The 23,442-nt window shown below is 45.9% G+C and overlaps 1 protein-coding gene across 1 annotated transcript in view, besides 5 other annotated features; it reads right to left on the bottom strand.

The window, feature by feature from the left end:
* YY1 (YY1 transcription factor) overlaps positions 1 to 23,441 on the bottom strand; it is a 43,645-nt gene extending 20,204 nt beyond the window's left edge. Inside the window, exons 1-2 of the mRNA NM_003403.5 lie at positions 22,662 to 23,441; positions 119 to 281 (exon numbers count right to left, since the gene is read on the bottom strand). Of these exons, the coding sequence (NP_003394.1) occupies positions 119 to 281; positions 22,662 to 23,340 (842 nt within the window). The 5' untranslated portion in view covers positions 23,341 to 23,441. The remainder of the gene's footprint in view (positions 1 to 118; positions 282 to 22,661) is intronic.
* Positions 16,786 to 16,994: a silencer, noted in NCBI's record as "fragment chr14:100711928-100712136 (GRCh37/hg19 assembly coordinates)". NCBI's record gives its function as "represses an EF-1alpha promoter that drives an FKBP-Casp9 reporter gene in an ReSE screen in K562 erythroleukemia cells {active_cell/tissue: K562}" and the evidence as "EXISTENCE:reporter gene assay evidence [ECO:0000049][PMID:32094911]".
* Positions 21,840 to 22,519: a silencer, noted in NCBI's record as "silent region_6083". NCBI's record gives its function as "represses an Ori minimal core promoter by ATAC-STARR-seq in GM12878 lymphoblastoid cells {active_cell/tissue: GM12878}" and the evidence as "EXISTENCE:reporter gene assay evidence [ECO:0000049][PMID:35858748]".
* Positions 22,530 to 22,689: an enhancer, noted in NCBI's record as "active region_9030". NCBI's record gives its function as "activates an Ori minimal core promoter by ATAC-STARR-seq in GM12878 lymphoblastoid cells {active_cell/tissue: GM12878}" and the evidence as "EXISTENCE:reporter gene assay evidence [ECO:0000049][PMID:35858748]".
* Positions 22,790 to 22,839: a silencer, noted in NCBI's record as "silent region_6082". NCBI's record gives its function as "represses an Ori minimal core promoter by ATAC-STARR-seq in GM12878 lymphoblastoid cells {active_cell/tissue: GM12878}" and the evidence as "EXISTENCE:reporter gene assay evidence [ECO:0000049][PMID:35858748]".
* Positions 23,330 to 23,399: a silencer, noted in NCBI's record as "silent region_6081". NCBI's record gives its function as "represses an Ori minimal core promoter by ATAC-STARR-seq in GM12878 lymphoblastoid cells {active_cell/tissue: GM12878}" and the evidence as "EXISTENCE:reporter gene assay evidence [ECO:0000049][PMID:35858748]".

Genomic DNA, 23,442 nt, shown 5'->3' with positions numbered 1-23,442 from the left:
AGGAATTTCCCTAGAGAAAGAATACAAACCACCATTTTGACTTAGGCACAGGAAAACATAGCTGGCAAGACTCAAGCACTTTCTATAATTAAAAGAAAGGAAAGTTCTTATAACTTACCTAGCAAATTCTGCCAGTTGTTTGGGATCTGAGAGGTCAATGCCAGGTATTCCTCCAGGAGGAAGTTTCTTTCCTGTCATATATTCTGAATAATCAGGAGGTGAGTTCTCTCCAATGATCTGTTCTTCAACCACTGTCTCATGGTCAATATCTTTTTTTTCATCTGAAACACATCATGAGATTATCTTTAGCTGAGTAAATAGATTTTAAAAACTACAAAAACTGCTTTCACCAGTAACTTCTTAAATGGGGTGATTTATAGCCACCAGCTCAATTTGTTCTCCCCTCTCCCTTTTTTTTTTTTGGAGAACGGTCTCACTCTGTCACCCAGGCTGGAGTGCAGTGGTGCAGTGGCCCAATCACAATCACGGCTCATTCAGCCTCAAACTCCTGGGCTCAAGCAATCCCCCCACCTCAGCCTCCTGAGTAGCTGGGACTACAGGCAGGTGCCACCACACCCAGCTAATTATTTTTATTTATTGTAGAGACAGGGTCTCACAATGTTACCCAGGCTGGTCTGGAACACATGCACTCAAGCGATCCTCCTGCCTTGGCCTCCTAAAGTCCTCGTATTACAGGCATGAGCCACCACACCCAGCCTAGATTTCGGCTTTTCACTCACACCACACACATTTCCTGGCAACTACCAATTCAGTGGTGCTGATTCAAATCTGATTTCATAGCCTTCACCTCTTAGCTAGTCTCTTGCTACCTCTCCAGCCTCCTCCCTCTTCACTCCTCTATTTTGGCCCTTTAGCTCCCCAGTTGTATCATGGCCCATCTACCCTAACCTCAAGGTGTTTATTCATGCAATTTCCATTGACTAAAATTTGTAATTATAGCTGTGTGATTTTTGTCATCCTCCCACTAGACTGTAAGCTGCATATGGACATGGAGGTTGGTCAGTTTTGATCCCGTGCATTTACAGAGCCTTGTTCAAAATCTGCACATAGCTGGCCCTCAACAAATATATGTTCGGCCCAGCACCAGTGGTTCATGCCTATAATCCCAGCACTTTGGAAGGCCGAGGCGGTGGATTGCTTGCAATCAGGAGTTTGAGACCAGCCTGGCCAACACGGCGAAACCCCATCTCTACTTAAAAATACAAAAATTAGCCAGGCATGGTGGTGCATGCCTGTAATACCAGCTACTCAGGAGGCTGAGGCAGGAGAATTGCTTGAACTGGGAGGCAGAGTTTGCAGTGAGCTGAGATCATGCCAATGCCCTCCAGCCTGAGTGACAGAGTGAGAGTCTGTCTCAAAAAAACAAAGCAAAAAATAAAAATAAATAAGCATATGTTCAAAGAAATGTACGACATCTCTATTTGTATGTCTTACTATCATCTCATATCCAACAGGTTACAAAAAATAGGCCAGGTGCAGTGGCTCATGCCTGTAATCCCAGCACTCTGGGAGATCAAGACAGGAGGATCACTTAAGCCCAGAAGTTCCTAGACCAGCCTGGGCAATAAAGGGAGAGACCCCATCTCCACAAAAAAATTAAAATTAGCCAGGCATGGGGTGCATGCCTGTAGTCCCAGCTACTTGGGAAGCTGAGGCAAGACAATCACTTGAGCCCAGGAGGTCGAGGCTGTAGTGAGCCGTGACCACGTCACTGCGTCACTGCAACTTCAGTCTAGAGCAAGACTCTGCCTCCAAAAAAAAAAAAAAAAAAAAAAAAAAAAAAAAAAAAAAAGGACCAGGCACGGTGGCTCACACCTGTAATCCCAGCACTTTGGGAGGCCGAGGCAGGTGGATCACGAGGTCAGGAGATCGAGACCATCCTGGCTAATACAATGATACCCTGTCTCTACTAAAATACAAAAAATTAGCCAGGCGTGGTGGCGGGCACCTGTAGTCCTGGCTACTCAGGAGGCTGAGGCAGGAGAATCGCTTGAACCTGGGAGGCAGAGCTTGCAGTGAGCAGAGATTGTGCCACTGTACTCCAGCCTGGGTGACAGAGCGAGACTCTGTCTCAAAAAAGAAAAAAAAAAAAAATACATATATGTGTGTGTGTGTGTATATATATATATATATATATATTCATATATTCAGACCCCATATAATTCATTTCCCATATCTCAGACACCAAATCCTATTGATCCCCTTTAAAAGATCTCTCGGCCAGGCCACAGTGGCTCATGCCTGTAATCCCAGCATTTTGGGAGTTCAAGACCAGCCTGGCCAACATGATGAAACCCCAACTCTACTAAAAATACAAAAATTAGCCAGGTGTGGTGGCGGGCGCCTGTAAGCCCAGCTACTCGGGAGGCTGCGGCAAGAGAATTGCTTAAACCCGGGAAGTGGAGGTTGCAGTGAGCCGAGATTGCACTCCACCCTGGGCAACAGAGCAAGACCCCGTCTCAAAACAAACAAACAAACAAACAAAAAACACCAGTCTTCCCTCTTTGATCCACTGCCATCAACTTATTTCCTATTATCTCAAACCTAAATGACTGTAGTAGTTTCTTAATTGATTTTCACAATTATTTTCTCTAGTGATACTGCAAAGGATAAACTGGCACAGAAAATATAGCTGATATATTCTCACCCATGGTATAATCCCTTCAGTGCTGCTGTAAATTATTTCAATCTGGCATTCTGGGTCCAATGCTGTCTGGTCCCACTTTAACAACATACCTGGTCTTACCTTCTATTTCTCCTTTGCACATGCCTTCTATATTCTAACCAGCTTTTCTCATGGGTTAAATTCACAAGTGCATGGCAGGAGGTTTCAGTAAGTGTGAGTTTTGCTCTCTCTTACCACCTCTCTTCTCAACCCAGCCTCCCCTCCAAAGTCTAGCTCAAATTCTAGAGAATTTGAGGGCATGTTCATTTTATCAGTTCAGTCTTGATTCCTACCTTTTCTTTGAGCTCCTAGATTATTCCCTGACAGACTCAATCATTCCAGTTTGAATTTTTGTTGGTCTTGCCTCTTTTTTTTTTTTGAGACGGAGTCTCGCTCTGTCACCCAGGCTAGAGTGCAGTGGCACAATCTCAGCTCACTGCAACCTCCGCCTCCCAGGTTCAAGTGATTCTCCTGCCTCCACCTCCCGATTAGCTGGGACTACAGGCACACACCACCATGCCCAGCTAATCGTTTGTATTTTTAGTAGAAACAGGGTTTCACCACGTTGGCCAGGATGGTCTCGATCTCTTGACCTCGTGATCCACCCGCCTTGGCCTCCCAAAGTGCTGGGAGCCACAGTGCCTGGCGGGTCTTGCCTCTTAAGGTAGAGCAGAAGTGCCCAGAGGCCAAAAACAAGTCTTCTTCTACCTTTGATGCCTAAATTAGAAATAGGTACTCCGAAATTTTCAAGGCTAACTGCAAGTTTTTGCTTCTCAAATTGTCTGTCTCACCAAAAGTAGTAAAATAAAATATTTCAGAAGTGAAACTGGCTTCAACTTTTACCTTGAATTACCTTTCCACCAGTGTTAAAAATCAAGACCAACAACCAAACCAAAACGAAATCTACAACCACCAAAAACTACATATAACTGCTTAGCACACAGCTTTCTGACCTCAGAGCAAAGCTGGAGTATGAGAGGAAGATCAAGATAGAACGTAGGTTCCATTTGATTCAAGTGGTCATTATCAAGTTCAATCACTCTCAGCAATGAAAAGCACTGAATACAATTGTAAACTTTACATGACTCTAATTCCACCACTCTTCATTCTAGGAAATATAATTATACATCATTACAAGGAATCACAGATTTTTTTCATTTTACTGAGGAGAATGCGCAGGCACAGAGAGGTTAAGTAACCTGCTCAGGGTTAACTGGCTAGGAAGTGGCTGATGTAAACTCATGAGGGCCGGGCGTGGTGGCTCACGCCTGTAATCCCAGCACTTTGGGAAGCCGAGGCGGGCGGATCACGAGGTCAGGATGATCGAGACCACGGTGAAACCCCGTCTCTACTAAAAATACAAAAAACTCATGAAGTCTACCCCTAAGATTTATATGCTTAACTGTTAAGCTCTGCTGCCTCTTGTTCAGAAAGAACACTAGTGATAATATACCCAAGGTTATCCATTCACAGATGAAGACTATCTATTCCTAGGTGGGGCCTAGGAAAAAAATAGCTGGATGTATTCCGAAAAAGAGACAGGAAATATGGTTACTGACCCTAAGACACAAACCCAGGACTCAAATTCTTTAATTTCATTCCTGTTCCCAGGGCTGCCTGCTCCTACTGACACCCCCTGCACGTGCCCATCCCTCTAGCCTGGCACATCTACTTCTACATCAAAACTTTCACGGGGTACAGAAATACTTTGGTGGCCAAGGGAGCTATTTGTCCTCATGTTTTATATTTCTTTCTTTTCTTTTTTTTTTGACACAGTCTCCCTCTATTGTCCAGGCTGGAGTGCAGTGGAGCAATCATGGCTCACTGCAGCCTTGACCTCCAAGGTTCAAGCAATCCTCCCACCTCAGCCTCCCATGTAGCTGGGACCACAGACGGGCACCACCATGCCCAGCTAATTTTATTTTTTGTAGAGATGTGGTCTCACTATGTTACCTAGGCTGGTTTCGAACTCCTGGGCTGAAGCAATCCGCCTTGGCCTACCAAAGTGCTGGGATTACAGGTGTGGGCCATGTTTTATATTTCTGATACAGAATGATAGCAATGTTGAGAATCAGTGCTACTCTGAATAAGCTACTGATGAAAGTGTCTTAATCCATTTGGGCTGCTACAACAAAAATATAGATTAGGTGGCTTAAGGCAACATTTATTTCCCACAGTTCGGAAGCTAGAAGTCCAAGATCAAGGTGCCAGCATGGTGGTGTTCTTGGTGAGGACCTACTCCCTGGTTTGCAGATAGCCATCTTCACACTGTCTTGTCACATAGCATAGAGAGAACCAGAGGGCTAGCACTCTGGAGTCTCTTTTATAGGGCACTAATCCCATGCATTAGGGTTCTACCCTCAGACCTAAATTACCTTCCAAAGGACCTACCCTCTAATACCATCACATTGGGGGTTAAGATTTCAACACATGAATCTGGGAGAGACACAAACATGCAGTCTACCCCAGAGGGCATGTCTCAAGTGTGCTGAGACAGAAGACTGAACTCATGGCATAAAGGAATCACAGGCTAAATGATTATTATCATTAGTTCTACACATATTGAGGGCCTCCTATGTGCCTGGCATTGTTCTGGGCACTGGGAATAAAAGCTAGAAACAAAGTATCTGCTCTCAAGGAACTTACAGTCTAGTGAGGGAAGTCAAATGAGGAAATACTTCTTGAGTGGGGCTCAGAACCCAAATCTGAGCAATTCTAATATTGAAAGACTGAGGAATACTTTGCAAAGGAGACTGAAGAGGTATATCCACAGGTAGGGAGACAACTAGCTCTGTCTAAAGAGAACTTAGCGACATATCAAGTGCAAGTGGCATACACTACCAACACTGAAGAATATCAAGAACCCTCAGGATGGTCACTAAAATAATTCAGAATCAGAAACCAAAAAAATATATGAAAGAAGCCTAAAGTAGACGCTGACAAGACTTTATGACCTATATCAGGAATCAACTAGTACAGCCAGTTGGCCAAATCCAACCTCTATATTTCCACGGTTTTCGTAAAAAAAAAAAAAATTGTGGTAAAATATACATTACCATAATACTTCTCATTTTAACCATATGTAAGTGTACAGTTCAGTGCCATTTAATACATTCAGAATGTGTAACCATCACCACTATCTATACCCAAAATATTTTCTTCATTCCCGCAAAAAACTCTATACCCATTATGCAAGAACTTTCACTTCCCCTCAGCACCTGCTAACCTCAATTCTACTTTCTGTCTCTATGAATTTGCCTATTTCAGGTACCTCATACCAGTTGAATCATACAGTATTTGCCATCCATGCCTGGTTTATTTCACTAAGCATAATGTTTTTAAGACCCACCTGTTGTAACATATAACAACATTCCATTCCTCTTCATGGCTGAATAATATTCTGTACATACATACCATTTTGTCCATCTGTTAATGGATGGAGAAATAAACATGGCTAGATAATTAATCAGATGGGTTGGGGAGGAACAGGGATGCCAAGTATGCCACCTGAGTTTCTTGCTTCTAATTTTTAGAAGATGGTGGTGTCATTTGATGAGATGGAGGACAAGAGTGTGAAAGAGATGATGTGCAGAAGATTTAGAGTTCCTCTTTGGTTTGAGGTATCTGTGCAAAATCTAATGGGCAGACCTCAAAAAGGCAACTAAATATGCATGTATAGGGGATAAGAAACCTAGGTCAGAGAGAATTATATCGTAATCTGTGAGAATCACTGGCATATAGATGTTTTTTTTTTTTTGTGACAGGGTCTGGCTCTGTTGACCAGACTAGAGTGATCATAGTCTGCATGATCATAGCTCATTGCAGCCTCAAACTCCTGGACTCAAGTGACCCTCCTGCTGCAACCTCCCAAGTAGGTGGGACTACAGGCCCACAATACCATGCCTGACTCAGACTGCATTGAAAGCCCCAGAAAGACATTGTAAGATTATCTACTGAAAAAGAATACAGTCAGAGAGGAGAAGGATTATAATCAAAACCTGAACAATTCTAATATTAAGAGAATGAGGAAGACTTTGCAAAGGAGACTGAAGAGAGATGTCCACAAGTAGGGAGACAACTAGCTCTGTCTAAAGAAAACTGTACTCAGTGACGTATCAAGTGCCAAGTGGCATACAGCAAAAGCAGTTTGCCCTAAGCACAGACAAGAGAGGCTGCATGGTCTGTACATAATTTTAAAACCATAATAAAACTGGCTGAAAATAAGTGTACTCTTGATCATTACCACATTCCACACTTATTTATTTATTTATTTTTCCTGAGATGGAGTCTCGCTCTGTCCCCCCCAGGTTGGAGTGCAGTGGTGCAATGTTGGCTCACCGCAACCTCTGCCTCCCTGGTTCAAGTGATTCTCCTGCCTCAGCCTTCCAAGTAGCTGGGATCACAGGGGCACACCACCACGCTCAGCTATTTTTTGTATTTTTAGCAGAGATGGGGTTTCACCATGTTGGCCAGGCTGGTCTCTAACTCCTGATCTCAGGTGATCCGCCCACCTCAGCCTCCCAAACTGCTGGGATTACAGGCATGAGCCACCGTGCCCGGCCCTCCCACACTTTCAAATAATATCAGTTTCTTGCCTTAAAATAAAACATATTTTGTTGGTCTAAGTTTGAAATAATTTTTGTGGTTATTGTACATTCTCGTAAGATACAGATTTAAGACACATGTTATCACATTTATGACTTATTCCTTAAAAAACAGTGTTTCCTACAAGGAAGATAACTAGAACTCTCCAAAGACCACTGCACAGAAATTGTGAACAAGAAAATATAAGAAAATAGGCTGGCTGGGCACAGTGGCTCACATCTGTAATCCTAGCACTTTGGGAGGCCAAGGTGGGTGGATCACGAGGTCAGTAGTTTGAGACCAGCCTGGCCAACATAGTGAAATCCCGTCACTACTAAAAATACCAAAAAAAAAAAAAAAAAAAAAAAAAAAAATTAGCTGGGCGTGGTGGCGGGCGCTTGTAATCCCAGCTAACTTGGGAGGCTGAGGCAGGAGAATTGCTTGAACCCAGGAGGCGGAGGTTGCAGTGAGCCAAGATCACACCACTGCACTCTAGCCCGGGCGACACTGTGAGACTTCGACTCAAAAAAAAAAAAAAATAAATAAATAAATAAAATAGGCTAGGCATGGTGGCTCGCACCTGTAATCTTAGCATTTTGGGAGGCCAAGGTGGGCTGATCACCTAAGGTCAGGAGTTCGAGACCAGCCCGGCCAACATGGCAAAAATCCATCTTGACTAAAAATACAAAATTTAGCAGGTGTGGTGGCGTGTGCCTTTAATCCCAGCCACTCGGGAGACTGAGGCAAAAGAACCGCTTGAACCTGGGAGGTAGAGTTTGCAGTAAGCTGAAATTGCACCACTGCACTCCAGCCTGGGCGACAGAGTAAGACTCCGTCGAAAAGAAAAGAAAAGAGAAAAGAAACATATAGGAAAAAGCTGCAAAAAGACTTCTAGAGAAATGACAAAAGACACTGGCTTTTGTTGCCAGAAGAAATCAAAAGGACAATATTTGACCTGCCTCATTTTCACAAGCTGGACACACAATAAAGCAATACATTAAATAATGTCAATATTTGCTATCATTTGGCCATTTTGCTAATTTTTGCAAAAAGAAAATCAGAAGTTTTTACCAAATAGAATAGAAATTTATGATGCTGTAAAAGAAGCTAGTAATTTTTATTTATTACATTACAGGCCATATGTACATATGTTTCTTTCTTTGTTCAAAAAAATATCTTGGCCATGTGTGGTGGCTCACGCCTATAATCCCAGCACTTTGAGAGGCCGAGGCGGGTGGATCACCTGAGGTCAGGAGTTCGAGACCAGCCTGGCCAACATGGTGAAACCCCACCTCTAGCAAAAATATATAAAAAAAAAGATTATAGGTGTGGTAGCGGGCACCTGTAATCTCAGCTACTGGGAAGGCAAGGCAGGAGAACTGCTAGAACCCAGGAGGCAGAGGTTGCAGTGAGCTGAGATCATGCCATTGCACTCCACCCTGAGCCAACAACAGTGAGACTCCATCTCAAAAAAAGAAAATTATAAAAAATAATAATAATAAAAATCTTTGTTAAAAAGTATTAACCCTGGCCCAGCGCAGTGGCTCATGCCTGAATCCCAGTACTTTGGGAGGCTGAGGTGGGCGGATCACCCGAGGCCAGGAGTTCAAGATTACCCTGGTTGGCTGGGTACACTGGCTCACGCCTATAATCCCAGCACTTTGGGAGGCTGAGGCAGGCTGGTCACCTGAGGTTAAGGTGAAACTCCATCAATACTAAAAATACAAAAATTAGCTGGGCATGGTGGCACATACCTGTAATCCCTGCTATTCGGGTGGCTGAGGTGGGAGAATAGCTTGAACCTGAGACGCAGAGGTTGCAGTGAGCCGAGATCACGCCACTGCACTCCAGGCTGGGCAACAGAGCGAGACTCTGTCTCAAAAAATAAAAAAGACTAGCCTGGCTAACATGGCAAACCTCCATTGCTACTAAAAATACTATTCCCTTCATAATTACTACTGAAAAAGATTTGCTACATAGAGGAGAGTGTTTACTGATCCACTTTGAATGTCAAATTATGCTATGAATGTTACTGATTTCTATTGACTAGCGATGGGGTAATATCAAATGTACATCTAGGTAAAACATGTTCAGGAAGCAAAGTATCTAAATCTGCTTTAAAAATTGTCTGGACCCACTATAGGTCATTAAAAAATTGTTGTATGTCTATTCCCTGCTGGAGTTTCCCTTGAGGACAGGATCTTTTATTGTTTCACAGGACATAGTTAACCCCATTAGAAGTTTCTATGGGTTTCTTTCTTTCTTTTCCTTTGAGACAGGGTCTCACTCTGTTGTCCAGGCTGGAGTGCAGTGGCACTATCACTGCTCAATGCAGCCTCAACCTCCCTAGCTCAAGTGATCCTCCAGCAACCCCACTCCACCAGTAGTTGAGACCACAGGTGCACCACACCACCACACCCAGTTGATTTTTTTTTTCCTGGTAGAGATGGGGTCTCACTATGTTGCCCAGGCTAGTCTTGAACTCCTGGGCTCAAGTGATCCTCCTGCCTTGGCCTCCCAAATCCCTGGGGTTAGAGGTGTGAGCCACCATGCCTGGCCTGCAATGGGTTTCTTTAACCAATATAACTTAAGTTTACAATTGCTAATTACCAGAACACAAGTGGGCAAGGCCAATTAAAGCCAAATCTCAGAATTCCTATTTGGAAAAAGCTGAGAATACAGTCATTGATTCAAAGGGGGTAAGGTGATGTGGGCAACCATCATGTTAGGAACTTCTACCCAAAACTGTCGATTAGGTGACTACAGTGCTCACTCACACTCTGGCTAAATGCAATGACCTAAAACAACTAGACCAAGACTAACTTGGCCTAAGATAGAATGTGTGGAAAAACAAAATCTAGCCAACACTAGTCATATATGTGGAAGGACAATTAACTCACATTTAAAAGTTTCTATTTCTGCATATGGTACTATTCAGAAGGTTAAAGGTATTGTATAAATAAGCCGCTGGCCCATCCCAATCTCCCAGCTGCTCGGTGTTCTTCTATGTTACCAAAGCAATAATCACTCCAAGTCTAGTTTGAGGAGCAAAGCATAAGACTGAGTTTGTAGACTCCAATTTCCAGTCAAAAAGATATAATTAAGGAACTAAATAAATGGAAAGGCTAGAAGCACTCTACAAGTCCAGAGAAGTAAAAAGATGGAGTCTCACCTGCCCTCCACGCTCCAAGCAAAGTGGTTTTCTCAGTGTCTAGTAAAAGGTACTCAATACAATTTACCCTCTTGCCTTCCTCTCATGACCTACCTAAGCCCAGTCCACTCTCCAAAACCCAAATTAAGATCTCTTCCTTTCAAGAAGCCATTCATTCCTGTCACTCCAGCCTCTACTCTTAACCTCGCCTGGTTTCCTCATTTATTAAACAATGAGGCCAGGCACAGGAGTTCACACCTGTAATCCCAGCACTTTGGGAGGCCGAGGCAGGAGGATCTCTTGAGGCCAGGAATTAGAGACCAGCCTGAGCAACAAAGAGAAAACCCTGCCTCTACAAAGAAATAAAGAGAAGAAAGAGAAGCAAAGGGAGGGGAGGGGAGGAAGGGACAAAGGGAGGGAGGGAGGAAGGATACCACTGATCTTATAAGGCTAAAACAAGGTAACATGTTAAATGCCAATCATCATGTCTGGGAAATTGAGTAGTGTGCAAAAAAAGCCCCTTTATTCCACTTCCCCCCTCTCCTAGGTTTAAGGGGGAACAGTAGGTCTTGTGCCTTGCACATAACAGGGACTTGCCAAGTTCCTGCAGAATGAAGCTATACAGGGGATGCTAGCACATGTATTAGTTTCCTATTACCACTGTAACAAACTACCACCAATTTGGTGGTTTGAAACAACAGGAATTTATTCTCTTATAGTTCTAGAGGCCAGCAGTGAGAATCAGTTTCAGAGCTATAAAGTTGTTGTGTGGGTTCCTTCTGGCAGCTTTAGTGGAGAATCTGGTCCCTCACATATTCTAGCTTCTGAAGGCTGCCTACATTCCTTGACCCCTTCTCTTCACTGGACTCCAACCTCTCACACCTCTCCTACTTCCTCTTTGGCAGTCAATCTCCCACTGCCTTCCTGTGAATACAAGGACACTTGTGTGATTACATTTGGTACCCACCTGGATAAACCAGGATACTCTCCCTATTCCAAGAGCCCTGGTTTAATCACACTTGCAAATAAGGTTAACACCCACAGGTTCCAAGAATTAGGATCTGGCTATATTGGGAGTCATTATTCAGTCAACCAGTCAACCAGTTAGTCAATATGTTAATCAGAAAAATCAAAGGCCTTATATATTATTTCTCTCTCTCTCTTTTCATTTGAGACAGAATCTCATTATGTCATCCAGGCTGGAGTGGAGCTCACTGCAGCCTTGACCTCCTGGGCTCAGGTGATTCTCCCACGTCAGCCTCCTGGGTAGCTGGGGCTACAAAAGCACATGCCACCATGCCTGGCCTTTTTTTTTTTTTTTTTAATTTTCTGTGGAGACAAGGTCTCACTATGTTGCCCAGGTTGGTCTCAAACTCCTGGCCTCAGATCCTCCCACCTCAGTCTCCAAAAGTGCACCATACCCAGCCACGTTCCTTAATACATTTTTTAGGCATCTCTAAGACAGCACTGTGAAATTTGTCACATTGGCTGAAAAATGCCAGTACTACCACTCAGTGGTCCCCTTCATACACAAAGGAATTCATTCCTAAGAAACATTTTATTTCCTCAGAATTAATATCAGATGAAGGTAGTATAAGTTCCTTTTTTTTTAATTTTGACTGCCAGTAACCTCATTAGGGTTGATGGTAATTTTTCCTGTGATCCCGATTTTCTATATTCACCTTCACCAACTGAGATATTTACCTATGTATGTATGCATGTATATGTTTGGCTAGATTTTGTTTCTCCACACCTTCTATCTTAGGCCACTCCAGGTTACTTCTGGCAAAAAAAGACAAAAAAGAGTCACCGCTGCCATCACCCAACCTTTCACTGAAACAGGGGAGAGCTAAACATTTGCGATTCACTGCTTAGCAACAGGCAAAAATCAGACATAGGTTGTTTCCCAGTTTTTCCCACTAATAAAGACCTTAAGAAAGGATACTATCCTTTATTAAGTACCTGTCTCATTCTGGCAACTTGTCACATTTCTCAATCCAAACAATATCTTTAAGGTATTAAACCCTATGTTTTTGGCTGAAGAAACTGACCTCAGAAATGACAAGCAATGTATCTAAAGAGCAGTAAGTAGGCCGGGTGCAGTGGCTCACGCCTGTAATCCCAGCACTTTGGAAGGCTGAAGCGGACAGATCACCTGAGGTCGGGAGTTCGAGACCAGCCTGACCAACATGCAGAAACCCCATCTCTACTAAAAATACAAAATTAGCTAGGTGTGGTGGCAGGCACCTGCAGTCTCAGCTACTCAGGAACCTGAAGTAGGAGAATTGCTTGAACCTGGGAGGCGGAGGTTGCAGTGAGCTGAGATCACGCCACTGCACTCCAGTCTGGGCGACAGAGCAAGACTCTGTCTCAAAAAAAAACAAAAACAAAAACAAAAACAAACAAAAAAAAAAACGGTAAGTAGCAAATCTGAGATTTGAATTGAGAATTGACTCTAAAAGCCCATGCTGCTTCTAAAACAGAACCTTCTGCACCTTCTCTCTATCCCTAATACTTCTTTTCCACCTATACAGGAATAGACCAAAATAGTATTTTGGTATAAGCCCTGATTCTGCCTTACAGCACAAATTCCAGCCATTCATTCACTCAATATTCAAAGTTCAATACTCTCCTGAAAAGACAGGTCCTGACACCAACAGAACAGCTTCTTGCACAGCAATGGCAGCCCCTTTCCCTGACTCACAGATCTTCTATTTGAGAAGGGGAATTAATTTACACAAGAAAGCCAGGCACGGTGTCTCACGCCTGTAATCCCAGAACTTTGGAGGCTGAGGCAGGCAGATCACTTGAGGTCAGGAGTTCAAGACCAGCCTGGCCAACATGGTGCAACCCCATCTCTACTAAAAGTACAAAAATTAGCTGGGTGTAGTAGTGCAAGCCTGTAATCCCAGTTACTCAGGAGGCTGAGGCAGGAGAATCGCTTGAACCCAGGAGGTGAAGGTTGCAGGTGAGCCGAGATCGTGCCACTGAACTCCAGCCTGGGCAACAGAGCAAAACTCTGTCTCCCAAAAAAAAAAAAAAAAAAAAAAAAAAAAAAAAAAATTACACGAGAAAGAGTCCATCACAAACAACCATTTATATTGTTTTAATGCTAAACCACATTTGAAACCACTGTGTAAAACCAAAGTAACTGAATGGCTATTAAGAATTTTACTTGGCTGGGCGTGATGGCTAACGCCTGTAATCCTAGCACTTTGGGAGACCAAGGCGGGCCGATCATGAGGTCAGGAGATCAAGACCATCCTGGCTAACACGGTGAAACCCGTCTCTACCAAAAATACAAAAAAATTAGCCAGGTATGGTGGTGGGCGCCTGTAGTCCCAGCTACTCGGGAGGCTGAGGAAGGAGAATGGTGTGAACCCGGGAGGCAGAGCTTGCAGTGAGCCGAGATCGCGCCAGTGCACTCCAGCCTGGGTGACAGAGCGAGACACCGTTTCAATAAAAAAAAAAAAAAAAAAAAAAAGAATTTTACTCAAGCTGGGTGGAATGGCACACACCTCTAGTCCCAGCTACTAGGGAGGCTAAGGCCAGAGAACCGCTTGAGCCCAGGAGTTCAAGGCTGTAGCGCACAATGATCACACCTGTGAATAGCCAGTGCACTCCAGTTTCAACAACATAGCAAAAACCCGTCTCAAAAAAATTTTTTTTTCTCAAGAGTTCCTAATATCTCATTTGCCAGGTCATGTTAAAATGGAAGACTCTTGCTTTAAGAAATTGAGTAGGCTGGGTACAGTAGCTCATGCCTATAATCCCAGCACTTTGGGAGGCCAAGGCGGGCGGATCACGAGGTCAGGAGATTGAGACCATCCTGGTTAATACGGTGAAACCCCATCTCTACTAAAAAATACAAAGAAAAAAAATTAGCCAGGCGTGGTGGTGGGCGCCTGTAGTCCCAGCTACCTGGGAGGCTGAGGCAGGAGAATGGTATGAACCCGGGAAGCGGAGCTTGCAGTGAGCCGAGATCGCGCCACTGCACTCCAGCCTGGGTGACAGAGCGAGACTGTCTCAAAAAAAAAAAAAAGAAAAAAAAATTAGCCGGGCGTGGTGGTGCACACCTGTAATCCCAGCTACTCAGGAGGCTGAGGCAGGAAAATTGTTTGAACTCGGGAGGCAGAGGTTGCAGTGAGCCAGATCAAACCACTGCACTCCAGCCTGGGCAACAGAGTAAGACTCTGTAAAAAAGAAAGAAAGAAAGAAATTGAGTATATTGTTCTGTTTGTAAAGGAATAGAATTTCCTGCTATAAAGATTCAAAGTGACTTTAAGGATACCGCTACCCCAACTCATTTTAGAAAGATCTCAAGGTCAGTCCCCTCTAGAGAGGAAATATGATGCTGCTGGCTTTCTGTTCTTGATAATTATTCATGAAGTTAAACAGAATGGAACCTACTGAGAAGATACTTAGAACGAGGAAATGGCTTGGCTCCCCTTACGTGCTGTTATGAAAGTCCATCACACATGAAAAGGTGCAAGCCCCCCAACAATCAGCTAACTTCTAACATCTCCCTTGGCTCTTCCTAATACTCTGCAGTAATTACATGAATGTTATCTTCTGCATCCAAGTCATGATTCTGATAACCCTGTCTCTACAAAAAATTAGCCATGCCTGGTGGTGCGTGCCTGTAGTCCCAGCTCTTGGGGCACTGAGGCAGGAGGACTGCTTGAGCCCAGGAGGTCGAGGCTGCAATGAGCTGAGATTGTGCCACTGTACTCCCGACTGGGTGACAAAGTGAGACCCTGTCTCGAAAAAAAAAAAAAAAGAAAAAAAGAAAAATTCATTTTTGCTTACTCTTCCTATTGGAAGTAGTAAGAGCACAGAGAGAATAAAAATGGTCACCTGAGCAGATCAAGAGTTAAATAAAAGAATGCAAATACTAAGTAACATTCATTGCAATAACTGCTTTGCTAATATAACCTAAGTTTCCCAGCCTTAAAACAGACTGACCTTGTTAAGCAGGTTTCAAAAACAAAATAGAAATGCCTTTTGTAAATATCCACCTAGGAGTCCAACATGGATGTTTTAAAAAATTTACCCTCTTCCAAAAGCCTATAAAATACTAACTGTAGATAGGACAGGAACCCTGACCTTTTCCTGATACGGATTTTTCTTTTCCCACTAGGGGGAGTCAGTTGTTGATAGTGGGAGGGAAAAGGCAAGGTTAATAACCTGGAGGGGAGAGTCTGACAGCACAAGAGGCTTTATTAGGAAGCTAAACCTTTCAGAGCTACCAGATCAGGATTCGAGATCTATGACTTAGGCTACCCTATGTAGGTCATGGGGGTGAAGTGATTACTTTGGAGGGCTTTTTGAGCTTGGCTCCATGGAAATTCATGTTTATAGCATCTTAGTGATAAACAGCGCAGTTTCTACTGGGGAGGGAGGGTGTGAAAAACCCACAGAGGAATGGCAAACGGTCATGACTAGTGATTTTTGGCAAACCTGCATCTTCTGAACTTATAAAATTGGGAAAAATTCAATGCATTTCAACTTCCTTGCATTTACTGATTTTGTATCAATGGTTTTCTGGTCTTACAGGTTTTGCTTAATCCAGCACAAGCCGCTTCTCTATTCAGTGTAACAGAATAATGATTATTATTTTTGCCTCTCCTTCAGCAGTTTAATTTGTCTCCTCTCAGAAGGTCACAGCTCAGGTGGGGTCTCACCACCCCACATCCCCACAAGGTCCAAACAAGGGTTCTCTACCCGGAGCATGAGGCCAACCTGGGCACACCAGGGGAGGGACCATCGACTCCTAGGCGTGAAGGAGGTGCCACTCAGCTGCCAGCACTTTGAGAAGGCACATGTCCCCCACAACCCAAGCTGTGCTGACTGGCACGGGACAGAATGGGGGGGACACTGGCCCCGCACCTGTGCTATCCTCATTAGCCATGGGCAGGCAGTATGCACATGATGGCCTCACCTCACAAAACCCATGTATGGAAATGGAAACGGGGTGGGGGTGACCATGGACATGCTGGCTTGTTTCCAGGGTTCCAGGCATCTATGCGGCAGTTTATGCACATGGCAATGCAACTTCTGCTCCGAATTAAAATATCAACAGCCTTAGAGAGGGTCACAGTTTGTCACCACCTGAAATCTCAAGATTTTAAAATCACCTAAATTTCTCTCTGAACTAAATGTTTTAAATTCTCAGTTTTTATCATTATCTTCCCTATTAAATGCAATGGTTAAGTGGCTTAGTTTATAATTAACTAAGTTATAAAACAGTTACTCCTGGCTGGGCGCGGTGGCTCACGTCTGTAATCCCAGCACTTTGGGAGGCTGGGGTGGGTGGATCACCTGAAGTCAGGAGTTTGAGACCAGCCTGGCCAACATGGAGAAACCCAGACTCTATTAAAAATACAAAAATTAGCCGGGCATGGTGGCACACGTCTGTAATCCCAGTTACTCGGGAGGCTGAGGCAGGAGAATGTCGTGAACCCGGGAGGTGGAGCTTGCAGTGAGCCGAGATCGCGCCACTGCACTCCAGCCTGGGCAACAAAGCGAGACTCCGTTTCAAAAAAAACCCAAAAAACCCCACAACAACTGTTACTCCTATGTAACAGCATTAGTATCTAGGGAAAAAATATATAGTACTGTGCCCCAATCTATCAACACTGAAATGTTTATTAATCATATATAGTGAAAAAGGCCAAAGTAAACACTGGCATTAAAGCAATTGATTAAGATTATTCAAAACATAGTTGAAGCTGGGTGTCTGTAGTCCCAGTTACTCAGGAATTTGAGGCAGGAAGATACTCTGAACCCAGGAATTCAAGGCCAGCCTAGGCAACAAGGCAAGACCCCATCTCTAATTTAAAAAGCAACAACTAAAAAACTCCAGATGCACAGAGTTCTCTGACACACTAAACAGTTAAGTATATTCAGGTTAAATACAGAAGAAACAGGACAGGCGCAGTGGCTCACGCCTGTAATCCCAGCACTTTGGGAGGCCGAGGCAGGCGGATCACGAGGTCAGGAGATCGAGACCATCCTGGCTAACATGGTGAAACCCCATCTCTACTAAAAATACAAAAAATTAGCCGGGTGTGGCAGCGGGCGCCTGTAGTTCCAGCTACTCTGGAGGCTGAGGCAGGAGAATGGTGTGAACCCGGGAGGTGGAGCTTGCAGTGAGCCGAGATCGTGCCACTGCACTCTAGCCTGGGTGACAGAGCGAGATTCTGTCTCAAAAAAAAATAAGAAATAAAAAATAAATAAATAAAAATAAATACAGAAGAAACTAAACATGTGTATGACAATTAAAAATTTAGGAAAAAATAAAGAGGTCAGGCACAGTGGCTCACACCCATAATCCCATCACTCTGGAAGGCTGAGGAAGGATTGCTGGAGCCCAGGAGTTTGACACCAGCCTGGGCAACATAAGGAGACCCCATGCCTAAAAAATTAAAACATTAGCCTGTGGTCCCAGCTGCTTGGAAGGCTGAGGTGGGAGGATCGCTTCAGCCCGGGAGGTTGAGGCTGCCGTGAGCCGTGACTGTCTCACTGCACTCTAGCCTGGGTGACAGAATGAGACCCTGCCTCAAAAAAAAAAAGTAAGGGGTGGGGAGTGGGGCGGGCAGGTTGGTAATCCCAACACTTTGGGAGGCCGAGGTGGGTGAATCACCTGAGATCAGGAGTTCAAGACAAGCCTGGGCAACATGGCGAAACTTCGTCTCTACCAAAAATACAACAAAATTAGCCAGGCATGGTGGCACGTGCTACTCGGAAGGTGGAGGTTGCAGTGAGCCGAGATCTCACACTGCACTCAAACCTGGGTGCCAGAGTGAGACCCCTGTCTCAAAAAAAAAAAAAAAAAAAAAAAGTAAAAAAGGAAAAAAAAAGCCAATCTCTAAGGATCCTATAAGGCCTAAAACTACTAAAAAACTATTAGATTCCTATACTGATATTACATTCAAAAGATGCCCACCAGAGTGCTCTTACTGTGGGAAATTAAAGGAACATGGCATGTGCGCAAAAGAAACCCATTTGGTTTCCAGAAATATGATGACTCCCACTAATTTTTTTTTTTTTTTTGGAGACGGAGTCTTGCTCTGTCGCCCAGGCTGGAGTGCAGTGGCGCTATCTCGGCTCACGGCAAGCTCCGCCTCCCGTGTTCACGCCATTCTCCTGCCTCAGCCTCCTGAGTAGCTGGCACTACAGGCACCCGCCACAGCGCCCGGCTAATTTCTTTTTGTATTTTTAGTAGAGACAGGGTTTTACCGTGTTAGGCAGGATGGTCTCGATCTCCTGAGCTCGTGACCCACCCGCCTCGGCCTCCCAAAGTGCTGGGATTACAGGCGTCAGCCACCGCGCCCGGCCAATTTTTTTTTTTTTTTTTGACAGTGTCTCACTGTCACCTAGGCTGGAGTACAGTGGTGTAATCACCGCTGACTTGCAGCCTCGATTTCCCAGGCTCAGGAGATCCTCCCACCTCAATCTACCAAGTAGCTGAGAGTGACTACAGGCATGTGCTACCATGACTGGCTAATTTTTGTGGGGTTTTTTGTTTTTTTGCAGAGACGGGGTCTCACTATATTGCCAAGGTTCATCTCGAACTCCTGGGCTTAAGCGATCCTCCTGCCTTGGCCTCCCAAAGTTCTGGGACTACAGGTGTGAGCCACTGCACCCAGCCTGATCTTTTTGCTTTTTAAACCAAGAGGGTCTAAGAAGTAACTAGACCCTCGGGGAATACCCTGTATGTACAACTATTTTTATAAGGACTTCAAGTAACTCAGCTTGGGGCTTATGCAAAACTGTTACTTCACAGTTCATTCCAAACTAAGGGGCTATTTTAGTGAAACTAAAGTGTAGTTAAAACCTTCATGCCTAGGATCAAATGAGATCAAGTACACGAAAGCAGTAATGCTGCCCACCATGCTCAACCCATATGTACACATACATACAGATTTACCCAACAATTAACCCACTTTCATTTCTCCACTTGTTATGGAATTATACTGAGTATATCACGTCATTTCAGTTCTGAAGATGAAATCACCTTCAGAATTTCAGCTTGGGAAATGCAGAGTTATCCATAAGCTCTTTAGCTTCTCTTTAGTAATAATTCCAAATCACAAGGAAAAGTAAGGGGGATAGTTTACCACAAAACACATGTCCGAGAAACAGGCCATCCTATGTTACTGCCATCAAATATTTATAACTACCCTTATGCACAGCGTACTCTACCACACTAGCTAGACAACCAGCGCTTTAAAGAAATGGACATTATAGCCAGGGGTGGTGGTGGATGCCTGCAATCCCAGCTACTTGGGAGGCTGAGACATGAGAATCCCTTGAATCCGGGAGGTGAAGGTTGCAGTGAGCCAAGATCGTGACACTGCACTCCAGCCTGGGCAACAGAGCAAGACTCTGTCTCAAATTAAAAAAAGAAAAGAGAAGAAAAGAAACGGACGTGAAAACAACCCCAAACTGTGCCACCTTAAAAGCAGCCACTTGGCTGGGCGCGGTGGCTCACACCTGTAATCCCAGCACTTTGGGAGGCCGAGGCAGGCGGATCACGAGGTTAGGAGATCAAGACCATCCTGGCTAACATGGTGAAACCCTGTCTCTACTAAAAACACAAAAAATTAGCCGGGCGTGGTGGTGGGCGCCTGTAGTCCCAGCTACTCGGGAGGGTGAGGCAGGAGAATGGCGTAAACTCGGGAGGCGGAGCTTGCCGTGAGCCGAGATCATGCCACTGCACACCAGCCTGGGCGACAGAGCGAGACTCCATCTCAAAAAAAAAAAAAAAAAAAAAAAAAAAACAAAAAACAAAACAAAACAGCCACTTGCACACTTGTAAATGCTCACTTAATTGTAAATTGACTTCCATCAGTCAAGCCCCTCAGACTTTCTCCCCTAACTGGCTGACTCCATACATACCACTTCAGCAAGCAAAGCCGTACACTACCAGCTTCTCTGGATGTGGAAAAGTGGACCAGCAATTTGTTAAGATAAAATGCAGATCATGTAAAAATATGTCGGTTTTCTAAATTCCTCTAATTCCACACACTATGAGAAAAAGTAAATTTACTTTTGTGGTTAATGTATCTTTACCTAAATATCTTATTTCAAATCGTATTCTGAATTCTGCAAATTCATCAATAACTAAAACCCCCATCCCTTACTCATTGGTATTAACAAAAAAAAATGCCCCCCCCCCCCTTTTGAGACAGAGTCTCGCTCTGTCACCCAGGCTGGAGTGTAGTGGTGCAATCTCGGCTCACTGTTAACCTCTGCCTCCTGGGTTCAAGCGATTCTCCTGCCTCAGCCTCCCGAGTAGCTGGGATTACGGGCTCCCGCCATCACGCCTGGCTAATTTTTATATTTTTAGTAGAGATGGGGTTTCACTATGATGGCCAGCTGGTCTCGAACTCCAGACTTCAAGTGATCCACCGGCCTCAGCCTCCCAAACTGCTGGGATTACAGGCGTGAGCCACCGCGCCCGGCCAAAACCATGACTTTTAGTTCCAACATGATCAGTATGTAATCTCTTGAGCTACCAAAATACATGGAAATTATCTTTTGATAACCATTAAGTACTAAAGTATTCATGTTTCATTTAAACATAGTTTCTGCTAAACTCAAACTGCTATGAATTCTACAAGGCACCCTGGATGCAGGACAGCGCCTGTTAGCACCTTCCTATTAGATTTTGACAGCTCCTAGATCCCTTTGCTCAGGCCTCTTTCAATCACAGATCCACCCAGCTGTAGTTGTCTCATCTTGAGGCTTTCACCAGATACAAACTAGCTTTTTCAGTCCAGCCTTTTCATTTCTGTTTCATTCATTCCTCCGAATTTTAACGATCTTTTAATACTCAAAGGTCACCATATTTTGAGTCTCCATTCAGTTCTGAGAATTTATGAAGCTTTAAAGTACTTATAGGGAAGAGGTTCCACCGCTTATATGGAGTACTAAACGTAATCATCACAGGCATTAGATTAACTACGATGGCAGGATTATTCTCAGTCTATTTAGTATCTCAGCAATTTAGCTAGGTAGCATATGAATATACTAATAGGATACTGACCTAAAAAACCAGCATTGAATTAATAATTGCCTTTGAAGTAAAAACAGATTTTACACAGGCAGATAAGATCCTTTTGCTCTAGATGGTTTTCAGGCCTTCGTTAAAAGTAGTATTAAAACAGTAAAACAAAACTCAAAAAAACCCGCTTTCTATTATCGTTCTTTTCATGGGGAAAATAGATACCTTTCTACAAAGTAAAAACCATAAAGGCTTAAAATTAAACTACCCGATTTTATTTACTGGCAAATGTCCACAGTTGAGTAAACTAACCCAACCTATTCAGAAGAGCTAAATACTTGAGGGAAAAAAAAAAAGCTTTCCCAAAACGTAAGTGACTAAGAATTATTCGCTAACATTCACAGGCCCTTTCCACTAGGTACCGCAGGAAGGCGAAAAGGCCAGGAATTCGCTGGCAACGGCGGTGACAGGCTCCGACTGACGCTCGGAGCCCGCACACGCGAGCCCTACGTGCAGCCCCAAGTCCCGCCCCGCAGCAAACGACGACTTGGGCGAGCGTGACCGCCGGGGCAGGGTCCAGCCCGGCGCTGGGTGGGCGGGGAGCAAGGAGGCCGGAGGGCGCCCACGAGTGCCAAGCCCCCTCCTTCTGGAAGGTGCCACCGGGGAGCAGTTGGGAGTCCGGGGAAGTTGGGGGCGGGCGGGGCAAGCGCCCGCGGCGCCCTCCAGCGGCCGATGGGGTAACGGCAGCGCCGGGCGGGGGCGGGGGCGCGCGTCCCGGAGGCAGCAATCCCTGGCCCGCGAGGCCGCGGCGCAGCCCCGCCAACGACCTCCCGCGTCCCGCCCGGGCCGGGGGCGCGCAGCTGCCGCCACAACGGGCCGGCGGGCGCGCCCGTTGATGCGGGCGCGGGGAGCGAGGGCGTCGGGGAGCGAGCGCGCCGGCCCCTCCCCCGGCCGTCTCCGCCCCGCGCGGCGCTTCCCCCTCTCGGAGAAACTACGCCATTGCGGCCTAGCCGGGCGGCGCCGGCCCCTCCCCCCCGCGGCCTGCCGCCATCTTCGCGGCCCGCCGCCCGCCGCCGCCGCCGCGCCCCCGCCGCCGCACGGCCCGCCATCTTTTGGGGCCGCCATACTTGCCCTGGCGAAGAAGATGGCGGCGCCCATCACACACATAAAACATGGCTTCCCTTCAAAACAAAAACATCCCGGGGCCGGGGCGCGCGGCCGGCGCTCACCTGAGGACCACATGGTGACCGAGAACTCGCCCTCCAGGGTCTTGATCTGCACCTGCTTCTGCTCCCACTTCTTGTTGCCCGGGTCGGCGCCGCCGCCGCCCGCCGCGCCGGCCCCGCCGCTGAGGTAACTCTTCTTGCCGCTCTTCTTGCCGCCGCCCTTCTTGACGCGGCCGCCTCCCGACGACGACGAGCCGCCGCCGCCGCTCTTGCCGGCCGCCGCCACGGTGACCAGCGTTTGTTCAATGTAGTCGTCGTCGCCGCCGGCCGGCGCGGGCACCGGGATGAGAATCTGATCCTCGAAGCCGTCCTCGGCGCGCAGCCCGTCCGAGTCGTCGCCGCCCACCACCTCCTCGCGCGTCTGCACCAGGATCACCTCCTGGTGGTGGTGCACCTGGGTCGGGTCGTCGGTGACCAGCGGCTGCAGAGCGATCATGGGCGGGTGGTGGTGGTGGTGATGGTGGTGGTGGTGGTGGCCGGCGTGCCCGTGGCCGCCCCCGCCGCCGTGGTCGCCACCGCCGCCGTCCTCGTCGTCGTCGTCCTCCTCCTCCTCCTCGCCCACCACTGTGGTCTCGATGGTCTCCACCGGGATGGTCTCCACCTCGATCTCGTGCAGCTCCACGATCTCGGCCGGCATCTCCGAGCCGTCCGTGGCGATGTAGAGGGTGTCGCCCGAGGCCATGGCTGAGGGCTCCGCCGCCACGGCCGCGGCGGCCTCGGCTCCTCGGCTGCGGGCGGGCGGGCGAGGAGGCGGCCGGCCGTGGGGAAGGAAGGCAGAGGGAGG

This window comes from Homo sapiens, chromosome 14 (assembly GCF_000001405.40).
Source record: "Homo sapiens chromosome 14, GRCh38.p14 Primary Assembly".
Taxonomy (NCBI): domain Eukaryota; kingdom Metazoa; phylum Chordata; class Mammalia; order Primates; family Hominidae; genus Homo; species Homo sapiens.
This window is presented reverse-complemented; position numbering and strand designations above follow the sequence as displayed.